Below are 25,542 nucleotides of genomic sequence, written 5' to 3'. Positions count from 1 at the left end.
GGAGAATCATTATGGTACAAAGTTCAGTAGGGAAATACAAATCCTAGGTACAGAACTGTGATGGATAGTGCTCTCCTATACCTCTACAAACACAAGCTGCCAAACATCAGACCGTTAGTGAATAACCAGATCTTCTGAACAGACACCTTAGCAATGATAACATGTTAGTACACTCCAGTAAAAGCAATGAATTTCAGAAACTCTGTAATTTCTAATTTCTCATCTACTTCACTCCTACATGAAAAGTTAGGCTAATCTTGATAAATCAACTTTTTTCTAAATTTGCTTTCACACCCTTTGGGCAGTCTATCCCTTAATTCTGGCCTTATTTTGTTCTCTAAAGAGAGAAGCGGGGTCTGGAATGAGCTGTGTCCTCCAAATCCAGTCCTTCCTAACATGATTCCACATTTCTCAGCAGATGCTGCAGACCCTTTATTGCTATGCTTCCTACTAATGATGTCTTCATGAGGCATACATTCAGCTAGCTGCCTGAGCCTCTGAGAATATCAAACTAACAACATGCTGCTTACCTGCCTTTTACCAGTCAGAAGATGACATCTATTCATTTGCACAATGAAATCCCAATCCCAGCCCCACTATACACATACACACCAATGAGCACGTGTCACTTCACTCCCACCTGGTTTTCGACTTAGGCCACTTTGGAGATGTGCTAACAATACCTAGCAATTGGTTTGTGTTAGAACTGCACTTTTGGAGAGTATAAAGTGACAACATTTCAATAAATGACTACCAGGTCCTACAGCCGAGGAATTAATTAGTAACAAATACCATCAGCCCTCTATATTCATAGGTTCTGCATCCATGAATTCAACCAACCATGGATCAAAAATACTAAAAAAAAAAAAAAGATGGCTGCATCTGCACTGAACACGCAAAGACTTTTTTCTTGTCATTATGCCCTAAAAAATACAGTATAACAACTATTTACATAGCATTCACATTGTATTCAATTTTATAAATAATCTAGAGATGACATTAAATAATACAGGAAGATGTACATAGGTTATAAGCAAACACTATGCCACTTTATATAAGAGACTTTAGTATTCATAGGTTTTGGATCTGCAGGAATTCCTGTAACCAATCTCCCACACATACTAAGGGATGAGTGTTTACAAAAAAAAAAAATGCAATAGTTAAGGCAAAGATTATACTTCTAAACTGGACAAGCCAATTTTGTAAACACATGTCACTGCTAATAAGAAACTTTTTTGAAATTCTAGATGGTTTATGATAAACCATCAATAATAACAGACCACAACAAACACATGCTCTTCAAAATGAGAAACAAGAATTGGCCTTCTTTATGATTACTAATTACTTCTGCTACCACTATTACAACAGGCTGAAAAGTCCCTTTGGGTTCAAATGACTTCAGAATGTTGCCAACATTTAATATCCAATAAACTCAGACCACAAGTAGGAAAGAAAATCTTATTTTTGTTACTGTATATACACAACTAAGTGATACTTTAAAGGCAAATATAGGTTACAAATTGAAAATTGAAAAGAATGCTATATTGCATTTACCAGTGAATTGTGATTCAAATTGCTTTGTGTTCTTGCTTTTTAAAATTTTGAGGTTTAAGACAAAAGTCTTGCATTTAATAGCTGAGAAGATTCCTCACAGATACCGCGTACATACAATGTTCCTGCAAATATCCTTATTTCATTCAAGAGATTGCTTATAGAATGTGTTACTTCAATTATTTGCCAAGATATTTTATTCTGTGCTATTTCTAACATATATCATGCTAGAGTCACAGGGATACTAAATTTGAAGGGGCATTTCTATGCTTAAAATATGAAACAAATTATTCTGGTATCTAAAATAACCTAACTGCAAAAGCAACTCCTACACACATGTGGTAATAATTTTCAAAAAGCTATCTTTTATTGGATTCTAGGTAATAACAATAGCATATGCTTTTTGTACGTCTACTCTTACAAAACAAATTTTTCACAACATAACCTTTCAAGAAACCAAAATGCTTCAGATACTTTCCATCATACAATATCAATTCACTAACTCAAATATCTGGCTTACCGGATTTAATACAAACACTTTTTCAGATTATTATCAAAAGAAAAGCCATTCATCATTTTTATTCCAAAACAATTTATTGATTGTAAAAGACTCATATTTTAAATCATAAAGTTTCATATTTTCCGTTTTCTACATGTTCTTGTCCTGAGTAACAGGACTGACTATGAGAGACTTCACATAAAATGAATTTCGCACATGGAAGGAAAAAACCTTCAGTAGCATGATGGCCTTCATTATAGATTTGTGACTTAACATCTATATGTTAAGTCACAAAACAAGTCTTAAAACATTCAAAAAATTGAAATAATATCAAGCATCTTCTCTGACCACATGGAATAAAACTAGAAATCAACAAAAAGAGAAATTTTGTAAAGTATACAAACACATGGAAACTAAACAATATGCTCCTGAATGAAGAGTGGGTCAATGAAGAAATTAAGAAGGAAACTGAAAAGTTCTTGAAACAAATGATAATGAAAACACAACATACCAAAATCTATGAGATATAGCAAAAACAAATACAAAGCAAAAACAAAAATATAAGTGCCTACATCAAAAAAGTAGAAAAACCTCAAACCTCACAACGCATTTTAAAGAACTACAAAAGCAAGAGCAAACCAAACCCAAAATCATTACAAGAAAGGAAATAATAAACATCACAGCAAAAATAAATAACACTAAAATGAAGAACACAATACAAAAGATTAGCCAAATGAAAAGCTGGTTTTTTTGAAAAGGTAAACAAAATTGGCAAACCCTCAGCCAGCGTAAGAAAAAAAGACAGAAGACCCAAATAAATAAAATAAGATATAAAAAGGGAGACATTACAACCAATGATACATAAATTAAAAGGATAATTAGAGGTACTATGAGCAACATATGCCAATAAATAGAAAATCTAGAAGAAATGAATGAATTCCTAGACGCATACAACCTATCAAGATTGAACCATGAGGAAATCCAAAACCTAAACATATCAATATCGAGTAACGAGATGAAAGCTGTAATAAAAAGTTTTCTAGTAAAGAAATGCCTGGGACACGATGACTTTACTGCTGATTCTACCAAATATTTAAGGAAGTAATAACAATCCCACTCAAACTATTCTGAAAAATAGAGGAGGAAGGAATACTTCCTAACTCTTTCTACAAGTCCAGTATTAATCTGATACCCAAACCAACAAAGGTACATCAAAAAAATAAATAAATAAAACTAAAGGCTAGTATCCCTGATGAATATTGACACAAATATTCTCAACAAAATACTAGCAAACTGAATTCAAAAACACATTAAAAAGATGATTCATTAGGACCAAGTGGGATTTATCCTAGGGATGCAAGCATGGTTCAACATAAGCAAAATGATCAATATGATACATCTAATCAACAGAATGAAGGACAAAACCCATATGATCATTTCTTTTTTTTTTTTTTTTAATATTTATTGATCATTCTTGGGTGTTTCTCGGAGAGGGGGATGTGGCAGGGTCATAGGATAATAGTGGAAAGAAGGTCAGCAGATAAACACATGAACAAAGGTCTCTGGTTTTCCTAGGCAGAGTTCCCTGCGGCCTTCCACAGTGTTTGTGTCCCTGGGTACTTGAGATTAGGGAGTGGTGATGACTCTTAACGAGCATGCTGCCTTCAAGCATCTGTTTAACAAAGCACATCTTGCACCGCCCTTAATCCATTTAACCCTGAGCTGACACAGCACATGTTTCAGAGAGCACGGGGTTGGGGGTAAGGTTATAGATTAACAGCATCCCAAGGCAGAAGAATTTTCCTTAGTATAGAACAAAATGGAGTCTCCTATGTCTACTTCTTTCTACACAGACACAGTAACAATCTGATCTCTGTTTTCCCCACATTTCCCCCTTTTCTTTTCGACAAAACCGCCATCGTCATCATGGCCCATTCTCGATGGTCGCTGTCTCTTCCAAGCTGTTGGGTACACCTGCAGAAAGGCTGTCACTTCACACTTGGAAGATTGCACAGCAGCCAGGCAGAGGCGCTCCTCACTTCCCAGACAGGGCAGCCGAGGAGAGACGCTCCTCAGATCCCAGACGGGGTGGTGGCCAGGCAGAGGCGCTCCTCATTTCCCAGATGGGGTTGCGGCCGGGCAGAGGCACTCCTCAATTCCTAGGCGGGGTGGCGGCTGGGCAGACACTCCTCACCTCCCAGATGGGGTGGCGGCCGGGCAGAGGTGCTCCTCACCTCCCAGACGGGGTGGCCGGGCAGAGGTGCTCCTCACTTCCCAGACGGGGCGGCCGGGCAGAGGCGCTCCTCACTTCCCAGAAGGGGCGGCCGGGCATAGGCGCTCCTCACATCCCAGATGGGGTGGCCGGGCAGAGGCGCTCCTCACATCCCAGATGATGGGCAGCCAGGCAGAAACGCTCCTCACTTCCTAGACGGGGTGGCGGCCGGGCAGAGGTGCTCCTCACTTCCCAGACGGGGTGGCCAGGCAGAGGCACTCCTCACATCCCAGATGATGGGCAGCCAGGCAGAGACGCTCCTCACTTCCTAGATGGGGTGGCGGCCGGGCAGAGGCGCTCCTCACTTCCCAGACGGGGCGGCCGGGCAGAGGGGCTCCTCACATCCCAGAGGATGGGCGGCCAGGCAGAGACACTCCTCACTTCCTAGACAGGGTGGCGGCCAGGCAGAGGCTGTAATCTTAGCACTTTGGGAGGCCAAGGCAGGCGGCTGGGAGGTGGACCTTGTAGCGAGCCGAGATCACGCCACTGCACTCCAGCCTGGGCCACATTGAGCACTGAGTGAGCGAGACTCCATCTGCAATCCCAGCACCTCGGGAGTCCGAGGCAGGCAGATCACTCGAGGTCAGGAGCTGGAGACCAGCCCGGTCAACACGGCGAAACCCCGTCTCCACCAAAAATACAAAAACCAGTCAGGCGTGGCGGCACATGCCTGCAATCCCAGACACTCGGCAGGTGAATCATGGGAGCCCGAGGCAGGGAGGTTGCAGCGAGCCGAGATCACGGCAGTACAGTCCAGCCTCGGCAACAGAGGGAGACCAAAGAAAGAAGGGGCGGGGGGAGGGGATCATTTCAGTTGATACTAAAAAAAGCATTTGAGAAAATTCAACATCCTCTCATGACAAAAATCCTCAAAAAACTGGGTACAGAAAGAACATACTTCAACACAATAAAAGCCATATATGACAGACCCATAGCTAGTTTCATACTGAATAGGGAAAAATTGACTTTTCTCTAAGATCTGGAACATGGCAAGGATGCCACTTTCACCACTGTTATTCAAAATAGTACTGAAAGTCCTATCTAGATCAATTGGACTACAGAAAAAAATAAAGGGCATTCAAATTGGAAAGGACAAAGTGAAATTATCCTTATTGGCAGACAATAAGATCTTATATTCAGAAAAACCTGAAGACTCCAGCAAAAACTTAGAACTGATTACCAAATCCAGTAAAGGTGCAGAATACAAAATCAACATACAAAAATCAGTAGCATTTATATATGCCAACAATGAACAATCTGAAAAATGAATCAAGAAAGATATCCCATTTACAATAGCTATGAAGAAAATTAAATACCTAGGAAATAATCAAAGAAGTGAAAGATCTCTACAATGAAAACTATAAAACATTGATGCAAGAAATTTAAGAGAAAATGGAAAAATGTTCCATGTTCATGGATTGGAAGAATCAATATTGTTAAAATGTCCATACTACCCAAAGCAATCTAGACATTCAATGATATCACTACCAAAATACCAATGACATTCTTCACAGAAATGGAAAAAAATAATCGTACAATTTATATGGAACCACGAAAGACCCAGAATAGCCAAAGCTATCCTAAGCAAGAAGAACAAAACTGAAAGAATCACATTACCTGACTTCAAATTATACTACAGAGGTACCATAACTAATACAGCAATGGTACTGGCATAAAAACAGACACAAAGACCAATGGAACAGAAGAGAGAACCCAGAAACAAATCAAAACATCTACAGTGAACTAATTTTTGACAAAGGTGTCAAGAACATAAATTGAGGAAAGGACAGTTTCTTCAATAAATAATGCTGAGAAACCTAGATATCCGTATGCAAAAAATGAAACTAGACCCCTATCTCTCACCATATACAAAAATCAAATAAAAAGGGATTAAAGACTGAAATCTTATATATCAAACTATGAAACCACTACAAGAAAACACTGGGGAAACTCTCCAGGATATTAGACTGCTCAAAGATTTCTTGAGTAATACCCCACAAACACAGGCAACGAAAACAGAAATAGACAAATGGGATCACATCAAGTTAAAAAGCTTCTGTACAGTGAAGGAAACAATCAACCAAGTGAAGAGACAACCCACAGAATGGGAGAAAATATGTTCAAACTATCCTTCTGACAAGGGATTAAAACCAGAATATATAAGGAGCTCTAACAACTCCATAGGAAAAAAATCTAATAATACAACTAAAAACGGGCAAAAGATCTGAATAGGAATTTCTCAAAAGAAGACATACAAATGGCAAACAAGCATATGAGAAGGTGCTCAACATCACTGATCATCAGAGAAATGCAAATTAAAACTACAATAAGATATAATCTGACCTCAGATAAAACGACTTTTATCTAAAAGTCAGGAACTAACAAATGTTGATGAGACTGTGGAGAAAAGGGAACCCTCATACATTGTTGGTGGAAATGTAAATTAGTACAACCACTATGGAGAGCAGTTTGGAGGTTCCTCAAAAAACTAAAAATAGAGCTACCATAAGATCCAGCAATCCCACTCCCTCTTATATACACAAAAGAAAGCAAATCAGTAGATTGAAGAGATCTCTCCACTCTCATGTTTACTGCAGCACTATTCACAATAGCCAAAGTTTGGAAGCAAACTAAGTGTCCATCAACAGAAAAACGGATAAAGAAAATGTGGTACCTATACACAATAGAATATTATTATTATTCAGCCATAAAAAAGAAATGGAGATCCTGCCATTTGCAACAACATGAATGGAACTTCAGGTTATTATGTTAAGTGAAATAAGCCAGGCACAGAAAGACAAAGTTTGCATGTTCTCACTTATTTGTGGGAGCTAAAAATTAAAATAATTGAACGCATGGAGAGCACAAGGATGGTTACCAGAGGCTGGGAATGCTATTCAGAGGTTGGGAGGAAATGGGGATGGTTAACCATATTTAAAAAAATAGAAAGAATGACTAAGACTTATATTTTCTGGCATACAAGGAAGATGATACTCAAAAATAATTTAATTATATATTTAAAAATAATTAAGAATATGCTTATATTATTTGTAACACAATGGATAAATGCTTGAGGTGATGGATACCCCATTTACCCTAATGTAGATATCCCATTTATCCTGATTTTAACATGCATTCCATGCCTGTATTAAAATATCTCATGTAACCCATTTATGTGTGTGTATATATATACACACATATATATTGTAAACCCACAAAAATAAAAGCAAATATAGTAGCCAGAAAGGGACAGGTACCTTCAAAGAAGTAATAATTATAATAATATAGCTAACTTCTCAATAATACCTACAGAAGCCAGATGGACCAATGGACTGATATCTTCAAAGTGCTGAAAGAAAATAACTGCTAATCTAAAATTCTATACCCAGCAAAAATATCCTTCAAAAAATAAACAGATTTTTTTAAATGCCTTCAGGCAAAGAAAAACTGACAGATTTACTTAACAGTAGACCCATACAAAAAGAAACAGTAAAGAGCATTTTTTAGGCAGAAGGAAAAATAATCTCAGATAGCAGCTTGAAGATTTAGAAGGAAGAACATTAAGGAGGAAGGTTAAAATATGAATATATCTAAATGTTATTAAGTGTCCAGAGTTCATTACTATTTCATGAATCCTTCTTATATCCACACAGAACAGGGATAGTATTGATATTGCTATTCCCATTTTACAGAAGAAAAAAAAAAAAAACAAGGAAAGTCATATCCAAAGTTAATTTTTCCAAAATCCAAATTATAACCCTGGCAACTGCAAGGAAAGAGCCTTGGTCTACATTTCCCCTACCATAATTAAGAAGACAAAATTAAAATTAAAATTAAAAAGAAATGGTTCAAATAATTAGAGACAAAAATAGAAAATCCTGGCTCACCGATGCTTTGACATTGAGAAAGTATTTTCTCAGTACAGCATCTGTGAACTGGATATTTTCTGTTTGCCCTGCAAACTTCCCATCTGTTTCCAATCTGCTCCATGCCAGAAGCTGACCACTGCATCCAAGGATCCCTTTCCCTCTGGCTTCCAGTTGAGTTTGGCCAATGAAAATCATTGGCAAGAGACTGGAGAGAGGGAGGAAGGTGGGGTCAGAGTATTAACTTCCTCACCTCCCTCCCTGCTGAGTCTCCAGGATTGATTGTGTCCATCAATCTAAGGCAACAGCTCCTATCAGATGGCCCTCTCTTATAGCTACACTACTCTCTGCAGGATCCAATAACAAATCCCTTCTCTGGCCCTTTCAGATACAGGAACGGTAATAGTTCCCATTGTTGTTAGTGCCAAGATGCTTCACCATTCCTTGCTAGTGTCTCTTTGTTCATTTCTACTCTCTCAATTACCCCATTTGAGTGAACATCTATTTGCTGCCAAGACTGCTTGCCAATTTATAGCATGGAAGGTGGTAAAAACAGAATAGGGAATAAGAACCCCAACACTAAAGTCAAAAACAACTAAAATTGGATCCCTGCTCCAAAACTGGCTTTGTAAGAGTTTGCTAACGTTTCTAAGCGTCTCTTATCTCATCTGTAAAATAAAAAAATACTAGTAGTACCTGCTTCAAAAATTATTGTTTGGTGTGAATTAATAAGGGCTTAGCCCAGTGCCTGATTGATGCAAAGCACAGGCTTAATAAATATTAAACTAGTATTATAAATTTAATATTTAGTAAATATTAAACTAGTATTATAAATTTAATATTTAGTAAATATTAAATTACTAAATTGTGAATATTACTAAATTATAATAATATTGATTATTATTAAATTATAATAATATTACTATTATTTTGGAAGAGAACATTATCATAATAAGTAGTTCTGCCCTACTTCAACATTACTGGAAAAACAGTGGCATAAATTAGCTCAATCTTATTTCAGCTGGCTCAGGGCTAAAGAAAATTATAATTGGGTCAAGTCAAAGCAAATCATTTCAGCACATCATATACAACTTCCCTGAACTCCCTAAAAAAGAATATATTACATAGAAATTGAATATATAATTGTGATCAGAAATGTTCAAAAATAAGGGTAATTTGAAGACTAAAAATAAGAACAGATGAAAGAGAAGACAGATCATCAAAATACAGTACCCATCCTTCGGTTTTAATATTATGACTGAAAGTCTTAGTATGCATGCAATTGTGAATAAAAAGACCAAATACAGCCAGCAATGCTGAAGCATGATAGCTAGATTGGTTGCATGTCCTTTGGAAAACAACTGCAGCTGCTGCCCACAGGGTCTGCATAATAACAATATATTTGGCAGCACTAAACAGATAACCATCTTCCAAAATTTCTCTAAGTGAAAAACAGTTATCAACAACAATAAAAGACTTCTGACTGCTGTTTTAACCATGAACTAAAATATTTTCTCCCAGGTTGGCCATGGTACTGATTCAATAGATGGAAAAAGAAAAGCGTGACTTGTTCCTTTATACTGCATCAAGGTACCAGTAGTTCAGCCTCGCCTCTATGTGGACTACAGTTCAAGTCCTTGATCTTCCAGGCCATAACTAGCTGCCTTCCTGAATCAAATGCCTCTAAGAAACACCATTTCCCAGCTCCCTCTGATTTGAACTGTTTGAACTTGTTGCAATCCAGCAAGCAAAGGAAGCTAAAACAGAACTCTGCACACATGGGCACTAAATGATGTTTCTAAGTGGCCCATTACATAACATTCACCAGGAAATACCTAACTCTTTGCCTAGCTTTGCTATCTTGGGCCCAGTCTTTCAAGAGAGATATCATTCAGAAACAACTATCATTCTTAAAGGGATTTAATTCAATAACTGTATTTATAGCTTCTCTAAGTAAAATAATTGTTAAAAGTGGGCATATTGGTAAATGTGCCAAAACTAACAGTAATGTTGGCTACAACATACATAATGTCATGTGCCAGGCAGTCTAATAAAAAGTTAACTTATCCAATCCCCAAAATAACCCCACAAAGCAGATATTATTATTAAACCCATTTTACAGAAAAGCGGGGAGGCACTGAGGCACAGAGAACTTAAATAGCTTGCCCAAGGTCTCAGAGCTAATGAGTAAGTTAATCAGCCATGGTCGGAGTCTTCTGCTTTAACCTTTATAATACCCCAACACTAAAAATACAGCTTTAAAAAATATTCCTATGTGTCAATGTTGAACCTGGCAAATAAAAAAAAATTAAAATGAAAAAAAATGAAAATATTCCTGAACCATGACATTACTGAATTAAGATGCTTCTATAGCTCCCATCTCTCCTTTCTCTTCTATTTATCCTCAAATTAACAATTCAAAGTCTAGATTTACCAACAAATAAGAGAACTGAGCATATCTCTCCTAAAAAAAAGAAAAGGCTGTAATAAAATTTCTACCCAATGAAATTTTGAAAGGTTCACTACGGTAAAACCATAGAGGACTGAAAAACTGTCTTTGATAACTATTTATAAGGTACTATAATTGTCCAAGAAGTTTTCAATAAGATGATGGTATTTGTGTTTAACAAAGTTAAATCTGTCCTATGCTCAATTTTTAAAGAGAAGCATCCTTTCATGATTCTGAATGTATTATTGACCAACCTATCTCAGAAGTATTATCAAATGCCTGCTTTTGGCTTTTTCTGTTCCTACATAAAATATAATCAACAAACTTCCAGGAGTCCACTGCATTGGTAATATTGTGAGATACATCTTTTGTTGCCCACTCCACAAAAAAGGTGGCAAGTAGGTGCCTAAAAAAAGAGTTTATTCCTTCTTGCTTCTCTGTTTCTTGATTCTTCTACTGTTTCCAGATTAAGGTATATGATGCCAGAATTACCAAACTATAATAGGCAAAACACATCTACCAGTTTTAGATTCTAAAATCTATAAACCAAGTCACCCACCGCTAAAGACTGATCAATGATTACAATTTCTTAGAGAAATGCTTCCTTATATTCTTTAGTCATACAGAAACTTATTTTGTTCTTTAAAGTACATATCACATGGTATGTTCCATAGCAATGGTTTACAGTTTTATGTATTTAGAACAGTGGTATTCATTGAATAGATTTTCACCTCTAAAACAAATCTGATGCCCACTCAGGAAGGTAAGTTCATAGGAGCAAACATGTAGAGAAAAATCAACCATCTGAGATATCCACTAAATTCTGAAATAATTCACAACAGGTCATCTCCTGGAGTCATATGTTATTCATTTCTACATGTTCTTTTACTCCGGCTTGTTTTCTAAGGCTTGCATCCCAGAAAATCAGAATGTTTTCCCTTTCATGTCAACAATGACTCTTTTAAAGGTCTTTTCTATATCAGAAAGAAATATATTTCCACTGAAATTTTCTTTTGTACTCTGCAACTTTTGAAGATAACCAGGCACAGAAAGACAAAAACTTTCCTTTGAAGAGTAAATGTTACTGGCACCTAAACCTTTTCTTTTTCTGTTGTTTGTAACAAAAGTACTGGGTCCTAAGATTCAAGATACAATATTGAATTCTATCTGGTTTCCTATCCTAAACAAACCACAAGTGGAAGTGCCAAATTAATTCTGAACAAATTTGCTTCAGGGCACCTACAGGGGCCATGGGCCTTTAATCTTCACATACCAAGAGTGTTTATTCGCCTCTGTTGGAAAGAAACACAAGTCTGGGAAGTCAAAGGTTGGTCAGTAGAAGAGAAAAATGGGGTAGAATCTCTCAAGATGACAGAAGAAAGTAATGAACCCTGCAAGTGTTTTCCCTGGCTAGCTGAGAGAATTGCCAAGTTTGGGTCAGAGGTCTCATTTAACTAGGAGTTCCATATTGCTCTTTTAGGTTACAACAATCTCAATAAAGCAGGTGATTATTCCTTGACTTAAAAGAACTTCCAAACTACAAACTCAAAATGAAGTTATCATTGCCAAATAATGCAACTTGTGAATAGAAAATAATGGTGTTAAAGCAATTGGGTATCAAGATTGTTTACACTGTCCATAAAATTTTATCAAAATACGATCAAATGTCATAAATTAAATTCTAATTGTTTTACACATACGGTATGTGATATTTTCCACAGATTTATAACTTAAAAGTACTAACTGATTCCAAGATATGTTCAGAAAATAACTATCAGGAGTCTCTAACGGAGAATTCCAGAGATACTTCTTAAGCAATAGTACATCAGTTTAAGTAATCTATTTTGGGTTTTTTAAGCTAGTTAAAATCTTTTTCTACCCATTTTAAAGTGTGTTGAATTTATGGATGAATTAAAATGTATTTCAACGTATAAGTAGGTTTAATTTTTACATGGTTGTTTAATTCTGTGATTAATAGGCCATTGAAAAATGAGTTTGTTAATTGTTGGGATTTTTCTTACTCATGTTACATGGAAGGTTCTGGATATCCTCACCCATTTTATATATTCCACCTTTTATTTTTATGTGAAAAATTTCTCTTTTTGGTATAAAAAATTTTATTATCTTTTCTTTGCAAATAAAGAGTGGTGTCAATTTGTAACTTAAAAAAATTCACTGTTGACCAAAAATTCCAATTACAATATTTTCTAGACTATTTTGTTAACAGTCTGGATCAAACAGATGTCAGTATAGTAATTAAATCACATTGCAATATATAAATTTTTCTTGATTTATCAAGAAACCATATCTTAAGTTCTCTCTTAACCGTATCTTAAGTTCTCATATCTTACTTCAATGTCAGTGTTTTCTAAATTGGAAAGTTGCTTTATTCCAATATTATCTGGAACTGTGTTTTTTTGAATTCCACAAACTAAAATAATAATAGACTATTTTTTTTAACTTACATGCAAGGTAGAAAAAATTCTGCAGAAATTTTAAAAGATGGGGGGAAATGGGATGAATTAGGAGTGAAAAAGAAGTTCAAAATTTAAGCATCACAAAAAAATCTGGTTTCTTAAAAAATTATTTCTTAATTTTGCTTACTTTATTGTTTTTCAAATAATTGAAACTTTACATAATCTGTAGTCTTTGAAGTTTAATTTTTAAAGTGCTGTTCAGTAATTTCTCATTTCAAATTTAAAATTAAGTACCAAAAATTGTGTATAAATACCATTAAGAAAATGACACAGGAGAAAAATATCAGGAAATTATCCACTATGGTTTAAGAATTTTACTCTTAAACATCAATGGCAATTAGTATCTCTTTTTCTCTAATATTATGAATAGGTAGAATACGTATGCTTGCCTTAGCAGTATAAATGTGTAAAATTATGTAATGTCTCTGTATATCCTTTAGTCTAGAACCATATTTTAAATGTTCAATATGCCCATTCTAACTGAATGGGTACTAACTGAAGAAAAAGCTCCTAAATAAAATGCCTAAATAAAAGATTGTACTGGTCTCATTGTAACAGTAAACCTATTAAGTTACTTCCAACTAGAGCAAGTTTACTTAGGAAAGAAGAGACTATTTGAAAAAGCATTTGGCAAAATAAATTTATTATCAAGAAAACCACTTGCAATGAAGCACAGAATATCATAGCATAACTTACATTTTTATTGTGTCAGTTTACATAGATGAACACTAAAAGCAACCATTTGAATTTCTAGATGAATTCATCATTAACCAGAAAATCAAATTTGGCTTCATGAATATAAATTCACTTTTAATGTGTATCATGTTTAGACTTTTTAATATACAAGCATGACTATGATTGCATAAAAGCTTCTAAATGTGATTTATTTAGTAAGAACATTACTCTAAGATATCACATTAAAGATTGCCTCTTAAAGCTTGGGTATCCAGCAGCTAAAAGGGTCACTACATTACCAAAAGGGAGAGGGCAGATGCTGCCTATTAATAATGCCCACTGTCTTAAATTAACTGGAGCCTCCAGCCAAGATGCCTCTGCCTGCCCTCTCTGGCAAGCCACTCACACTCCAGGGAAGAAAGATATGTACATACATACTCGGATGGATGGGTGGATGGATGGATGGATGGATGGATGGATGGATGGATGGATGGACAAAGAGATAGATAGATAGATAGATAGATAGATAGATAGATAGATAGATAGATAGATAGATAGATAGATGATAGATAGATGGAAGTATTGTGTGCGTGAGTGTGTGTGTGTTTGGCATATGGGGGGGAGGGTTGCTGCTGCTAACAGAAGTAAACATTTATAAATGGAAAAATATTTATAAGTAGTCTTATTGTTTTAATTGACTAGATCAAAGTTAAACAGCATCATATAATGTAAAATAAATTATTTGTACTGGCTTCAAAGTATATGTTAGACTAAGATTCACAATGCTGTGTTTCTGTGCCTTCAATTTAGAGGTTCTTCCTAGGCTCTTCTGAGAGAAATGGAGAAAAAGTCTTTAAGATGCCCCACATTAGAACAATATAACTTGTGCTCCACTGAGAAATGAAGTAACATAAAAATATTTCTAGGAGTCACACTAAAACCTACACTTTATGTAGATCTCTTCACGAAGAAAAAGAACTAAGTCTCTCAGAAGAAAGTGATGAAATAAAGAGGTATATAATGAAGAACAAAAAAAGATATTTGGGAGAAATACAGCATATTACTCATTAATAATTGTAGTAATTAACAGTATAGGAATCTCTATGATTTAACTAGAGTACTGAGTCTAATAAATAGTCTATAGAGATAGGTTCTATATATTGACTAAATGAGACACAATCCTATTTAGACATACAGAAAAGGGAAAATGGAAAGAAATAATAGCATACTGCACTTGGTCTTATATTTCCCGAAAGACACTTCATTTTATTATAAATTTTCTGTACTGATACTTTTTCCTAGATGACATCATGGGACCTCCAGAAACAATATTTCAATAGAAACAATACAAGTCTGCATTATACAGTATGAATGTGTTCAGGGCCTCCTAGGTAGAAATCCATACATACTTTGACCTGTGTTGATTTATCTCCTCTCATATAACAATTACAGATCCTTTTTTCCGTGTCTGTGAGTCATCTGCTTGTCTATATCATCATTAAAATTCTGAAGTTCTTCCCAAAGAGCATCAGGATACTGTATAATTCTGATACCAATTTTTCTTTGCTATAACCCCTTCTATTTTCACTTTCACATAATTACATATTTTATGTGGAAAATGATAATATGCATGTATTCAAGTTTAATAAAAATATAAAATATTTTCATGGTAAAATATATAAATGAAATGTTGACATGGTCCATTAGAAGATAACCAAATCTGCTTTTTTGAAAGTGGTATGAGAAATTTTGTACATAAAAACACTTGAACTCATGACTGTTGGTATAAAATGAGGTCAACGCTAATAATTTCTTTTGAAACTTTTTCTACAATTTTTTTTTTTTTTTTGAGACGGAGTCTCACTCTGTTGCCCAGGCTGGAGTGCAGTGGCATGATCTCAGCTGACTGCAACCTCTGCCGCCCAGGTTCAAGCGATTCTCCTGCCTCAGACTCCCGAGCACCTGGGATTACAGGCACCTGCCACCGCGCCTGGCTAATTTTTGTATTTTTAGTAGAGACAGGGTTTCACCATCTTGGTCAGGCTGGTCTCGAAGTCCTGATCTCGTGATCCACCTGCCTTGGCTTCCCAAAGTGCTGGGAGAGCAAGTATGAGCCCCTGTGCCCGGCCAACTTTTTTCTATAATTTAAAGTAACAGTATAGGCATACTTATCAGCATAGCAAATATTATTTATGCATACAATAAGTTCAAATTGCAATTATCACCTTAATTATATATGGATCTAAGACTCTTCATGGGATATTCACCTGACATAATAAAAACAGTAAAAAGTTTGACCTAAACAAAGAAATAAATGTTCCACAAATAGATGGTGTGCGGTGGGTCATGCCTGTAATCCCAGCACTTTGGGAGGCCAAGGTGGGCAGATTGCTTGAGCTCAGGAGTTCAAGACCAGCCTGGCCAACATGGTGAAACCCCATCTCCACCAAAAATTCAAAAGTAGCCAGGTGTGGTGGCACACACCTATGGTCCCAGCTACCTGGGGGGCTGAGGTGGGAGGATCACTTGAGCCTGGGAGGCAGAGGTTGCAGTGAGCTATGGGCACACCACTGCACTCCAGCCTGAGCAACAGAGGGAGGCCTTGTCTCAGGGGGAAAAAAAAAAACATTTTTAAGTAGCCAAACTAAATGTTCTTTTAATTTTCCACAGGCAAGGTATTCAGGCTGTGAAGTAACATGACTTTGAACCCTCTTCTAAGTGAGTCACTTGTTTTCAGATCATTCTTTCATTAATCTCTTCATCATGCATTCATTCATTCATTCACTCAACCAACATTCACTGAAAATCAACTCATTGCCAAGCATGAAGAAACTGAATAAGGGTGGTCCCTATATGAAAGAGGAAACATCTTTCTATAAGCCAATTCCCTGGAGAAAACTTCAGCTGGAGAAGGTAGTTCTCCCCAAAGACTTGAAAGTGGAGCGGCCCTAAAGACTACACACCACAGGACTCCAGTCCCAGCTATAGAAAAAACCTACTTAAGGAATTAAGACCTATTAAAATTCATATTGCAAGACAAAGGCCTTGTTTCCATGCTACATGGCTTCCTGAATAAACTCCATTTAACACTGCTATTCAGTTAGCTTATCTTTAGAACACCAAACTTTGTAGAATTCACTGGGTTTCTATGGGTTAATGAAATTTTCTGTGGTCTTCTATGGGCTAGTGATATCTGAGCATCACTTGGAGGTTCAAATGGTTTAAGAATGAGATTTCCCAAAACTCAAGGTTCATTAATCCATTTTAATATTCTAAACGTAAAGTAACATATACTTCTACTCACAATTGGATTTCCTGAACTCAAATGTGACATAATCTTGAAAAAATTATTCAAAATAGGCATGAATTTTCATGAAATATATACAAGCTGAAAGAAAGATATGTATTTGGGAGAAATAACATAAGGAAGGTAACAATAATCTTCCTAAAGGCAACATCTAACTATTGCTTAAGTATTTTAGCATTTAAAAATAGGCAAAGGTAACCTGGACAAAAATTATTGTGATTTTAACAAAACTTTAACTTTTCTTAAGAGAACAGATTTTAGACACTAACTAAGGAATAAAGAAATAAAAAAGAGTTAAGATAAATAACTGATCCAAAATTACTATGAGAACTGTGATTTCATTGATTAAAAGTAAAGAATTTACTATCTAAATTCTATGCTAGTAAACACAAATTCTATCTGATAAAAATATCAAAACAGAAACAAATAGTATTTATAAGGTCTGCTGTGAGGCAGGCACAAATAAATAAAAATTATTTTATGATATTTCATATTATTTAAGGAGAACTTTATTTTGCTTTGTACCCTATTTTAAATTTTTAACTACAAAAATGGTATATTTACTGAACTGAAATTAGCATAAATAACTAATACTTTTTTCTTTAAAGTAATTTTTGAGTAGGAAACAGCAATACACATTTCCATTTCTGGCAAAGATGTAACAGTCTGGACAAAAAGGAATAAAGCAAATACACAGGTTTAATGGACCACCTATTTATAACCATACTCCTTACTTAAAAAGTAATTCATTTCAATGATACATAAAGAAATCTCTATGTTTAATTCTAAGTCATAAAAAAATTTCTATACCAACACAAATACTGAGAATTCTGTTCTAATCTTAGAGTATGTCTGCCTGGGCATTACTTCTATCATATCACTATGCTACACACACTAAAAAATTTTTTAAAAATTTAAAGACCAAATCGTTCTGCAAACTTGTAGTTTAATAAAACTCTGTAAAAAGTTCTAAATTTTGCCTTTTTTAATGTCGATGCTTTAGTGGCTGCAGTAGTTGCAGTGATGTCGTTACACTAAGGAACAACAGATGGGTTGAAGGGAAGAACAAAGAATTTCCTACTATCTGGAAGCCTGCAGATATTGAAAAAGCAGTGAGATAACTTTTTAACTGCATCCCTCCATTATTCCCCATGTGATTGTGTTTTAATTTTTCATATATTTGACTTAAATTTTAAGTACTCTGGATATTGTCTCCATATAAACTGTGTTGCAGCTGCTTGATCACTCACACACCAGCCCCATGCTGCATTCACATGGCATGCACGTTGCTAAGGTTTTGGAAAGTGGAGGTCTTTATCTAACTATAGGACCTTAACAGATATATTTGCTTGCTCCATCATTAGTAAAGTTTTATAAAAGGCAAAAAGCAGAATTTTTACATTCCTAAATGCTTTAAGTTATTGCGACATTCAATCCTAAATGCGAACTGTAGATATTACAATTCAAAGTAATTTCCTTCTAAAAAAATTTTTTTTTTTTTTTGAGATAGAGTCTCTCTCTGTCACCAGGCTGGAGTGCAGTGGTGCACTCTCGGCTCACTGCGACCTCTGCCTCCCAGGTTCAAGTGATTCTCCTGCCTCAGCCTCCTGAGTAGCTGGGACTACAGGCACACCTGTAGCACTACGCCTAGCTAATTTTTGTATTTTTAGTAGAGACAGGGTTTCATCATGTTGGCCAGGATGGTCCTGATCTCTTGACCTAGTGATCTGCCCACCTTGGCCTCCCAAAGTGCTGGGATTACAGGCGTGAGCCACCACACCTGGCCCCAAGAAAATTTTTAAATATTCAATTAATATGAATTGTAACTACCCATTTACAAGAAAATTTTTAAATATTCAATTAATATGAATTGTAACTACCCATTTAAAATTTGGAGGTAACAAGATGGAATAAGAAGATGAGAGAAATGGAAATAAATACAAGTTAAAGATAAAAAGTAGTATACAAAATGTTGCATCTGAAATGCAAACACTACCATTTTTTTCATTGTATTTTGACTACTGAAATACTAGTAATTTCTAATTCACAAGCCATAACTTTTCTCTCAAATAAAAAGAAAAAACACTTTTACATAACACTGTCCTTAAAATACTTAATAATTTATCTTTCATTTTTTATTCATTCCAAATAATTTATGTTTGAATCTAATGCATCTAAACTATTTTAGATTTAAATGAAAGAGGCTTGGCTGCATCATTAGTTTTCCAAAGACTCAAGTTGATTTTCAGAATGTCTGAGACTTTCTAAAAGATATTTAAGGAACTCATCCAGGCCCTTCCACCCCTCAGTTCCACACTCCAAAAGTAATAACTTTTGTTTTAGGCTTCCACTTTCTGGTTTTTCCAGGTGTTTACCCTAACAACTCTAAATAACATACGTCTTGTTAGATAGAATATTGAATCGCACTAATCTGAAAGGGAAGCAATTATCTTAGAGAAGGGAAATGTATCAGAGTTTTTCAGTAAAAGCAAAAATTGTTGGGACTTCTAGCAATATGGTGGATAAATACTCTGAATGGACCTACCGTATTCTGCTTTTCTATATTGTAACACCAACTCACTTAGGCTGTAATTAGCTGTTTACATGTTTTCTTATGAGCTCGTGCATGTTATTTGATCTCTCTATGCCTCAGTTACATCATCTATAAAATGAGGATAACAATAATAGTAATAATAGTAGTAACTGTTTTAGAATTAAATATGTTAATATGTCCAAAGAATTCAGAATATTGCCTGGCACATAATGATACAAATTGCTATTATCATCATATAAATTCTTAGAACAGTGTTATTGGGAAATAACATGTTACTCATTAGCCAATAAATGTATGCTCATAAAACATCTTCATAATATATACTTCATGCTAACTATCAACAAATATAAAAATACTCTTGCTCAAAAACATTTGAACATAAAAGGTAATTTTTTGATGAAATACAAGAGGAAAAAGGGTAATAAGTCTTTCTTCACTAAGCAAAGCTTTTATCTAGCCAAGTTGTTTCAAGACTAGAACATACGTGCTAATTATTAATAGAACATAGTTCATCATGTTACATTATTCAACGTTAACGAATTCCCAGAATAACATTTTGTCATCTTCTACTTGATTGAAACTGTTACAGTCTTGCCAATGCACCACAATGTAGCAGTCTCTCATTTTGAGGTACCACCCAGAGTTTTTTGTCTCACAACCAAGAGAATTAAGTAGTGTGGACACAAAAAGGTTGAGGTTAGAGCAAAAGTTTAATAAGCAAAAGAAGAAAGCTCTCCACCATGAACAGGGAGCCTGGAAAAGAGTTGCCATTTTTACAGCTGAATGTAAAGCCTTTTATAAGAAACCAAAGGAGGGCTGGGTTGCATAACGGCATAAGGCACGAATTTCTGGTAGCTCCACCCCATCCTCCTAGTGCGCATGTGGGTCCTTAGCTTGAGTTAATCCATATTGCTTTGTTCCCCTTACTGCACATGTTTCAGGAGACAGAATTTTCCATTGCAGGCATGTCTGGACAAGTCACCCGTTTATCCTTTCTTACCTGTGCAGCTGTGGGCATGTCTTAGGCAAGCCCCGCTGTGCAAGTTCCCTCATCTGTGCCCAAAGCTTGATTTTTCAGGCTGTTCTTTAGTATGAAACAATTTAAGTGAGGACCCACCCTAACTGCCTGCCTGACTGGTTTCTTCCTTTCTCCTCTCTCAAAACAATAACATTTTAACCTTAAATTAATTCAGTTTTCTTGTATAGTCTTAAATATTACACACACAAAACATTATATGGGTATCTATCCTTTTTTTAGCACATTAATAAAGCAGGTAGCAATTCTTTTATTTTACACTTATTTTAAATAGTAAACTGCACTTTAGGGAACAAAAGTCAGTGGATTTTCTCTATTTAAAGGCAGGAAAACCATTGAATACAGTTCCACATTTTAGAATATCTGGGAACCCCCACAATCTGTTAACTGGCAGGTTCTGTTGATCAGATAACCTAGAGTTAAAGACCTATTTTATCAGGTGAGACTTAATTTGCTTACAAGTTTCAAGTTAGAATTCCAAAAATGACTTAAATGATATGACTATTCATCTATTTTACTTTTCAACCCAACTTTTAGTAATTTCAATTAATACCGTTATCTTGAAATGTAAACATGCACCATCACTCTCCTAAATCTTTTTTCTTAAGATGTAGGGGATTTACTAAGGTTTTTAAAATGTTAAACCTGATGTGTTAAAGACTTAGAAAGTTTTGAATAAGCTACCAATGTAGCTCTTTGTAGAAATTAAGAGTCTAATGATGAAATGATGCTAGTGCATAGCAAGCAATAAAAATTGCTAATTCTTGCATTTCCTTTTGATTCTAATTTTAAGTCACCCAACATCCTATACCATAAGAGTTATATATTTACACTCTTTTTTTATTCTGATGATAACTCTGATTTGTGCTCCAAAGCTAGTTCTGAAATACAGGTCATATACTACTTAATAGAATAAAGGACTAAGTCCACCCAAAGTTCTGAAGCCCAAAGTTCTAAGTTCTTCTACAAAGAGCTTAGTAGCACATAAATCTTATGTTATCAAAAAAAATCACTTTTTCCCATTTCCCTTTTATATTACAGTAAGCAACTAAGAAAATATAAACTTTTTCCTCTGGGAAACAGAGATACAGAGATATTTCTCTTTTTTTATTCTGGTGATAACTCAGATTTTTGCACTCCAAAGCTAGTTCTAAAAAACAGGCCATACACCAGTTAACAGAATAAAGGACTAAGTCCATCCAAAGTTCTAAAGTTCAAAGTACTTCTGCAAAGAGCTTAGCCGCATATAAACTTTATGTTACTGCCCCCCACACACAAATAAATCACTTTTTCTCTTTTATATTCTACAGTAAGTAACTAAGAAAACACAAACTTTTTCCTCTGGGAAATAGAGCTATTTCCCAGAATTCTCAGGAACCCATAAAAATAAACTCATTCTATCTTTGAAACCAGAGAGTCAAATTTCAGTTATCAGGAGGACCCACTATCTGAAGTAAGGAGAAAAAAATGTTAAATCACATGTGTTTTCTAAGAAAAATGAACGGCAAAGTCACTAACCTGATAGAAATGATCTCCGGGACCAAAGGGCCAAGAAGGTATGTGCTTAGTGAAAGGCAAACCCTTCATAACTAGTGAAAAGCAAACACTTTCCTTTTGGCTACAACCCTACTGCAACTGAATCCCCCATATATCAATTATGGGATACAGAATGAGGAACCCAAAACACAAAAGGATTTTTCCTACCGGTATAAATTATTTTCTTGGAGATTGAGAGTTTCATTTTTAAGAGATGTTCACAGTCTTGATGACAGTACTTCTAAAGAAGTTTTTCAGTGGAAACATGTGGTAATAAGTAGAATTCTACCATTGAAACATTTAATTTATAAAACAGAAAATCATAAACCCAACTGGCATTCTAACTGCAACTACTTATCCTTGGCTATACAGTGTTTCTAAAATCTCTGCCAGGCAAATTAAATAGACTTACTATGGAATGTAACAAAATCAAACAATCTGGAACTGTAATTACTATGATATTGTTTATAAGAATGGAGGATGCTGTGTTTTACATTATTACATTAAAAATAAAATGATCATGAAAACATGAGCCAAGCAGAAGATATCTAACTTTTCCTAAGGAGAATTTTTCTGAGAATTATAACCTTGACTGACAAATAAAAATAAAGATATGGCTTTTTAATTTATTTAATGATTCCTACAAGGTCTTTTCCATGTGAATAAAACACTTATCAAAATAGCCATACTACAGTTTATGAAAGTAGTGTACCAAATGACAGGCCATACCTCAATAATGGTTTAGCCACATGGCTATAAGGACATTATAAGCACAATTCTTGTGCTTCTCCATTTTAAGCCCCATCAATATAATATCTAGGGGTCATCTCATAAAGACCTTTTATCTGACACAATGGAAATATATGCATGCATGTAACGATGACCATCAAAAATCATGCAACTAATTTTACCCCCAAAATCCTTCAATGAGATTGACATAATTTGTCCAAATTATGTTTACTGAGGTACCAATAGTAAGAGGAAGAAAAAATATACGAACTATGACATAATTCTGTTCCTTCATCCCCCATAACTCATGTTAAGTTACAGTATACCACAATGCAATAGCAGATTCATTAGGCCCTAAACCAAAGCTCTCCTCTTTTGATAGGAACCCATGAAAGCCAAGAGTTCTGTCACTCTACCTAACATTTCTGATTATAAACTCACTGCCCCATCTGATTCAGAATTCCAAGTTCTATATGAACCAGAAAACTGTACAGACATCTGTTAGTGACCTATGATTGAAGCAACATATTTTATAACTACCCTCTTGAATCTTTCCAACCTCTACCACTGCCCGTGGCCCCTCTACACTATCTATTGACTTCTAAACAAAGGTAGCAAATTCTATAAAATTGTCCAAGTAAAGAACAGAGATTAATAATGGCATATTATATACTCAGAGATAAAGCCCCAAAATAAACACTATAAACATGTTTCAAAGTAAGATGTACTTGGTACTAGTGCCTCATGGGAATTGTAACTTGGCATATACTACACTGGTTAAGAGTAGCAAAGATACAGGAGGTAGGAGGGAAGTGGCTGGGAGAAAGACAGTACCTCAGCAGACTAAAAAAATCTTCCACTGTAGACATAGAAAAGACCAAAACCAGTGCCGTGGTTTCTCAAAACTGATATGGAACACAAATTTTACACACTTCCACAGAAAACAGAGAAAACAAATGACAAAGAAATGAAAATTATGAGGAAAAAGAGAGCAGATATTGGGAACAGAAAATAAGTAGCCAACCAAAAGATATTAGTTTTCCTGAAGGACAGATTAAATCAAACAAAACTGAAGAAATAATCAAAGATATAACATAGGAAACCTTTCTTCAGCAGCAAAACAAATGGTTTAAACAGATTAAATTCACTACATTCCCAATAATATCAAGGAAAATATCATCATACAGATATATGGTGGCAAGTGTGGCATTTACAGAAAAAATGAAAAACATTCTACAAGCAATCAAACATAAAGAACTGATTACCTACAACAAAACAAAAATCAGGTTGTCCATGGATTTCTCCTCAGCAACAATAAAGACTGACAAAGACTTGAATTCTAATCAAAGATAATACAGCAAAACTTACCAAAAACAGCAGAAAGTACTACAATAACTACCACCTCCCAAAAAAAGGAAATTGAATGAGGAAATGACTACAGTCACAATCAACAAACTTTGAAGCCTACCAAATATCTTAAATTCTGGACCACAGTATGATAGGATGCCAAGAGCTGGCACCAACTCTGCAGACTTCAAGCGGAAGAGAGAGTCAGGTCCTAGACTAACGGAATGAGATTTAAGGACATGCATGGGATACAGAAGGAGTGACATCAGAAGAACCAGAATGGAAGCAAAAGATATGGCCCTATACCTGTGCTTTTATCAGCTTCCTAACCAATGAAGACAGAAAGACAAGCGGCAGCCACTGATTCTTAGCACCAAGGACCTGTGACAGGGGCCGTTAGGGGCTTCTGTGACACTCACTAGCCTCTTGAACCCTGAAAACCAAGGAAAATGGACCCCCAGGGCAAAAGAGAAAATAAACAGAGTGAGAAGGTGAAAATATTCAGGTGATCTGAGCTAATCATCACTCTCCCTCAAAACTCCCCACACAATCCTTCAGCAAACTGCTGTCACCATTTAAAAAATGAGTAACTGTAAAATAAGAAGAGATGTATGTGTGGAAATTGCAAAAAAAGGAAAGGGGTAGACATGAGGGAGATGAGAACATAAAAGACAGAAAATCTCCATAGCAAAAACTTCCTAAAGAAACAAAAGAAGAATTCAGAGAAATAGTTACCCCTTGTATCAGTGAAATAAAAGAAACCCTTTTTTTCATTGTTTGGAGAACTCAAAAGATACGGGGTTGAAAGCCACACTAGAAGCAATAACTAGAATAAATAAATTTTTTAAATGAGAATAAATACACTAAAAACCAACTCAAGAACATGGATAAGCGACATGAAAAAAATCACAAAAATCAAAATAGAAAGAACAAATATATACAAATAATTAATTGATGAGGAGTAATGTTTTAATTCTTAAGGACTGAGAAATAAGTCAGACGAGCATCCAGACAGAAAAAGTAATTCATCCAATAAGATGTCTTTTTAAAAAAAATTAAGCTACCTTCAGGCTTTTCCACAGCAACTTTCAAAACCAAATGGAATGTCCAAATTTCAGAGGGAAGCGGATGTTATCTTCAGGTATAAAAGCAATATACAATTATTAAGGTAAGAACACTTACACGGCTTTCCACAAAACTACAGGATGATTAAACTCAACTCACCAAGAAATGAATCAAGATAA

At 35.3% G+C, this 25,542-nt stretch overlaps 1 protein-coding gene across 19 annotated transcripts in view, besides 1 other annotated feature; it reads right to left on the bottom strand.

The window, feature by feature from the left end:
• Positions 1–25,542, bottom strand: part of BBS9 (Bardet-Biedl syndrome 9) — a 506,483-nt gene that overhangs the window by 327,124 nt on the left and 153,817 nt on the right. The window lies entirely within an intron of this gene.
• Positions 19,942–21,141: an enhancer, noted in NCBI's record as "MED14-independent group 3 enhancer chr7:33327115-33328314 (GRCh37/hg19 assembly coordinates)". NCBI's record gives its function as "activates an origin of replication core promoter dependent on BRD2, BRD4, P300/CBP and CDK7 cofactors, and independent of MED14, by STARR-seq in HCT116 cells {active_cell/tissue: HCT116}" and the evidence as "EXISTENCE:reporter gene assay evidence [ECO:0000049][PMID:35650434]".

Source organism: Homo sapiens, chromosome 7, assembly GCF_000001405.40.
Source record: "Homo sapiens chromosome 7, GRCh38.p14 Primary Assembly".
NCBI lineage: Eukaryota > Metazoa > Chordata > Mammalia > Primates > Hominidae > Homo > Homo sapiens.
Note: the sequence above shows the minus strand (reverse complement) of the source record. Positions and strands in the feature narration are given on the sequence as shown.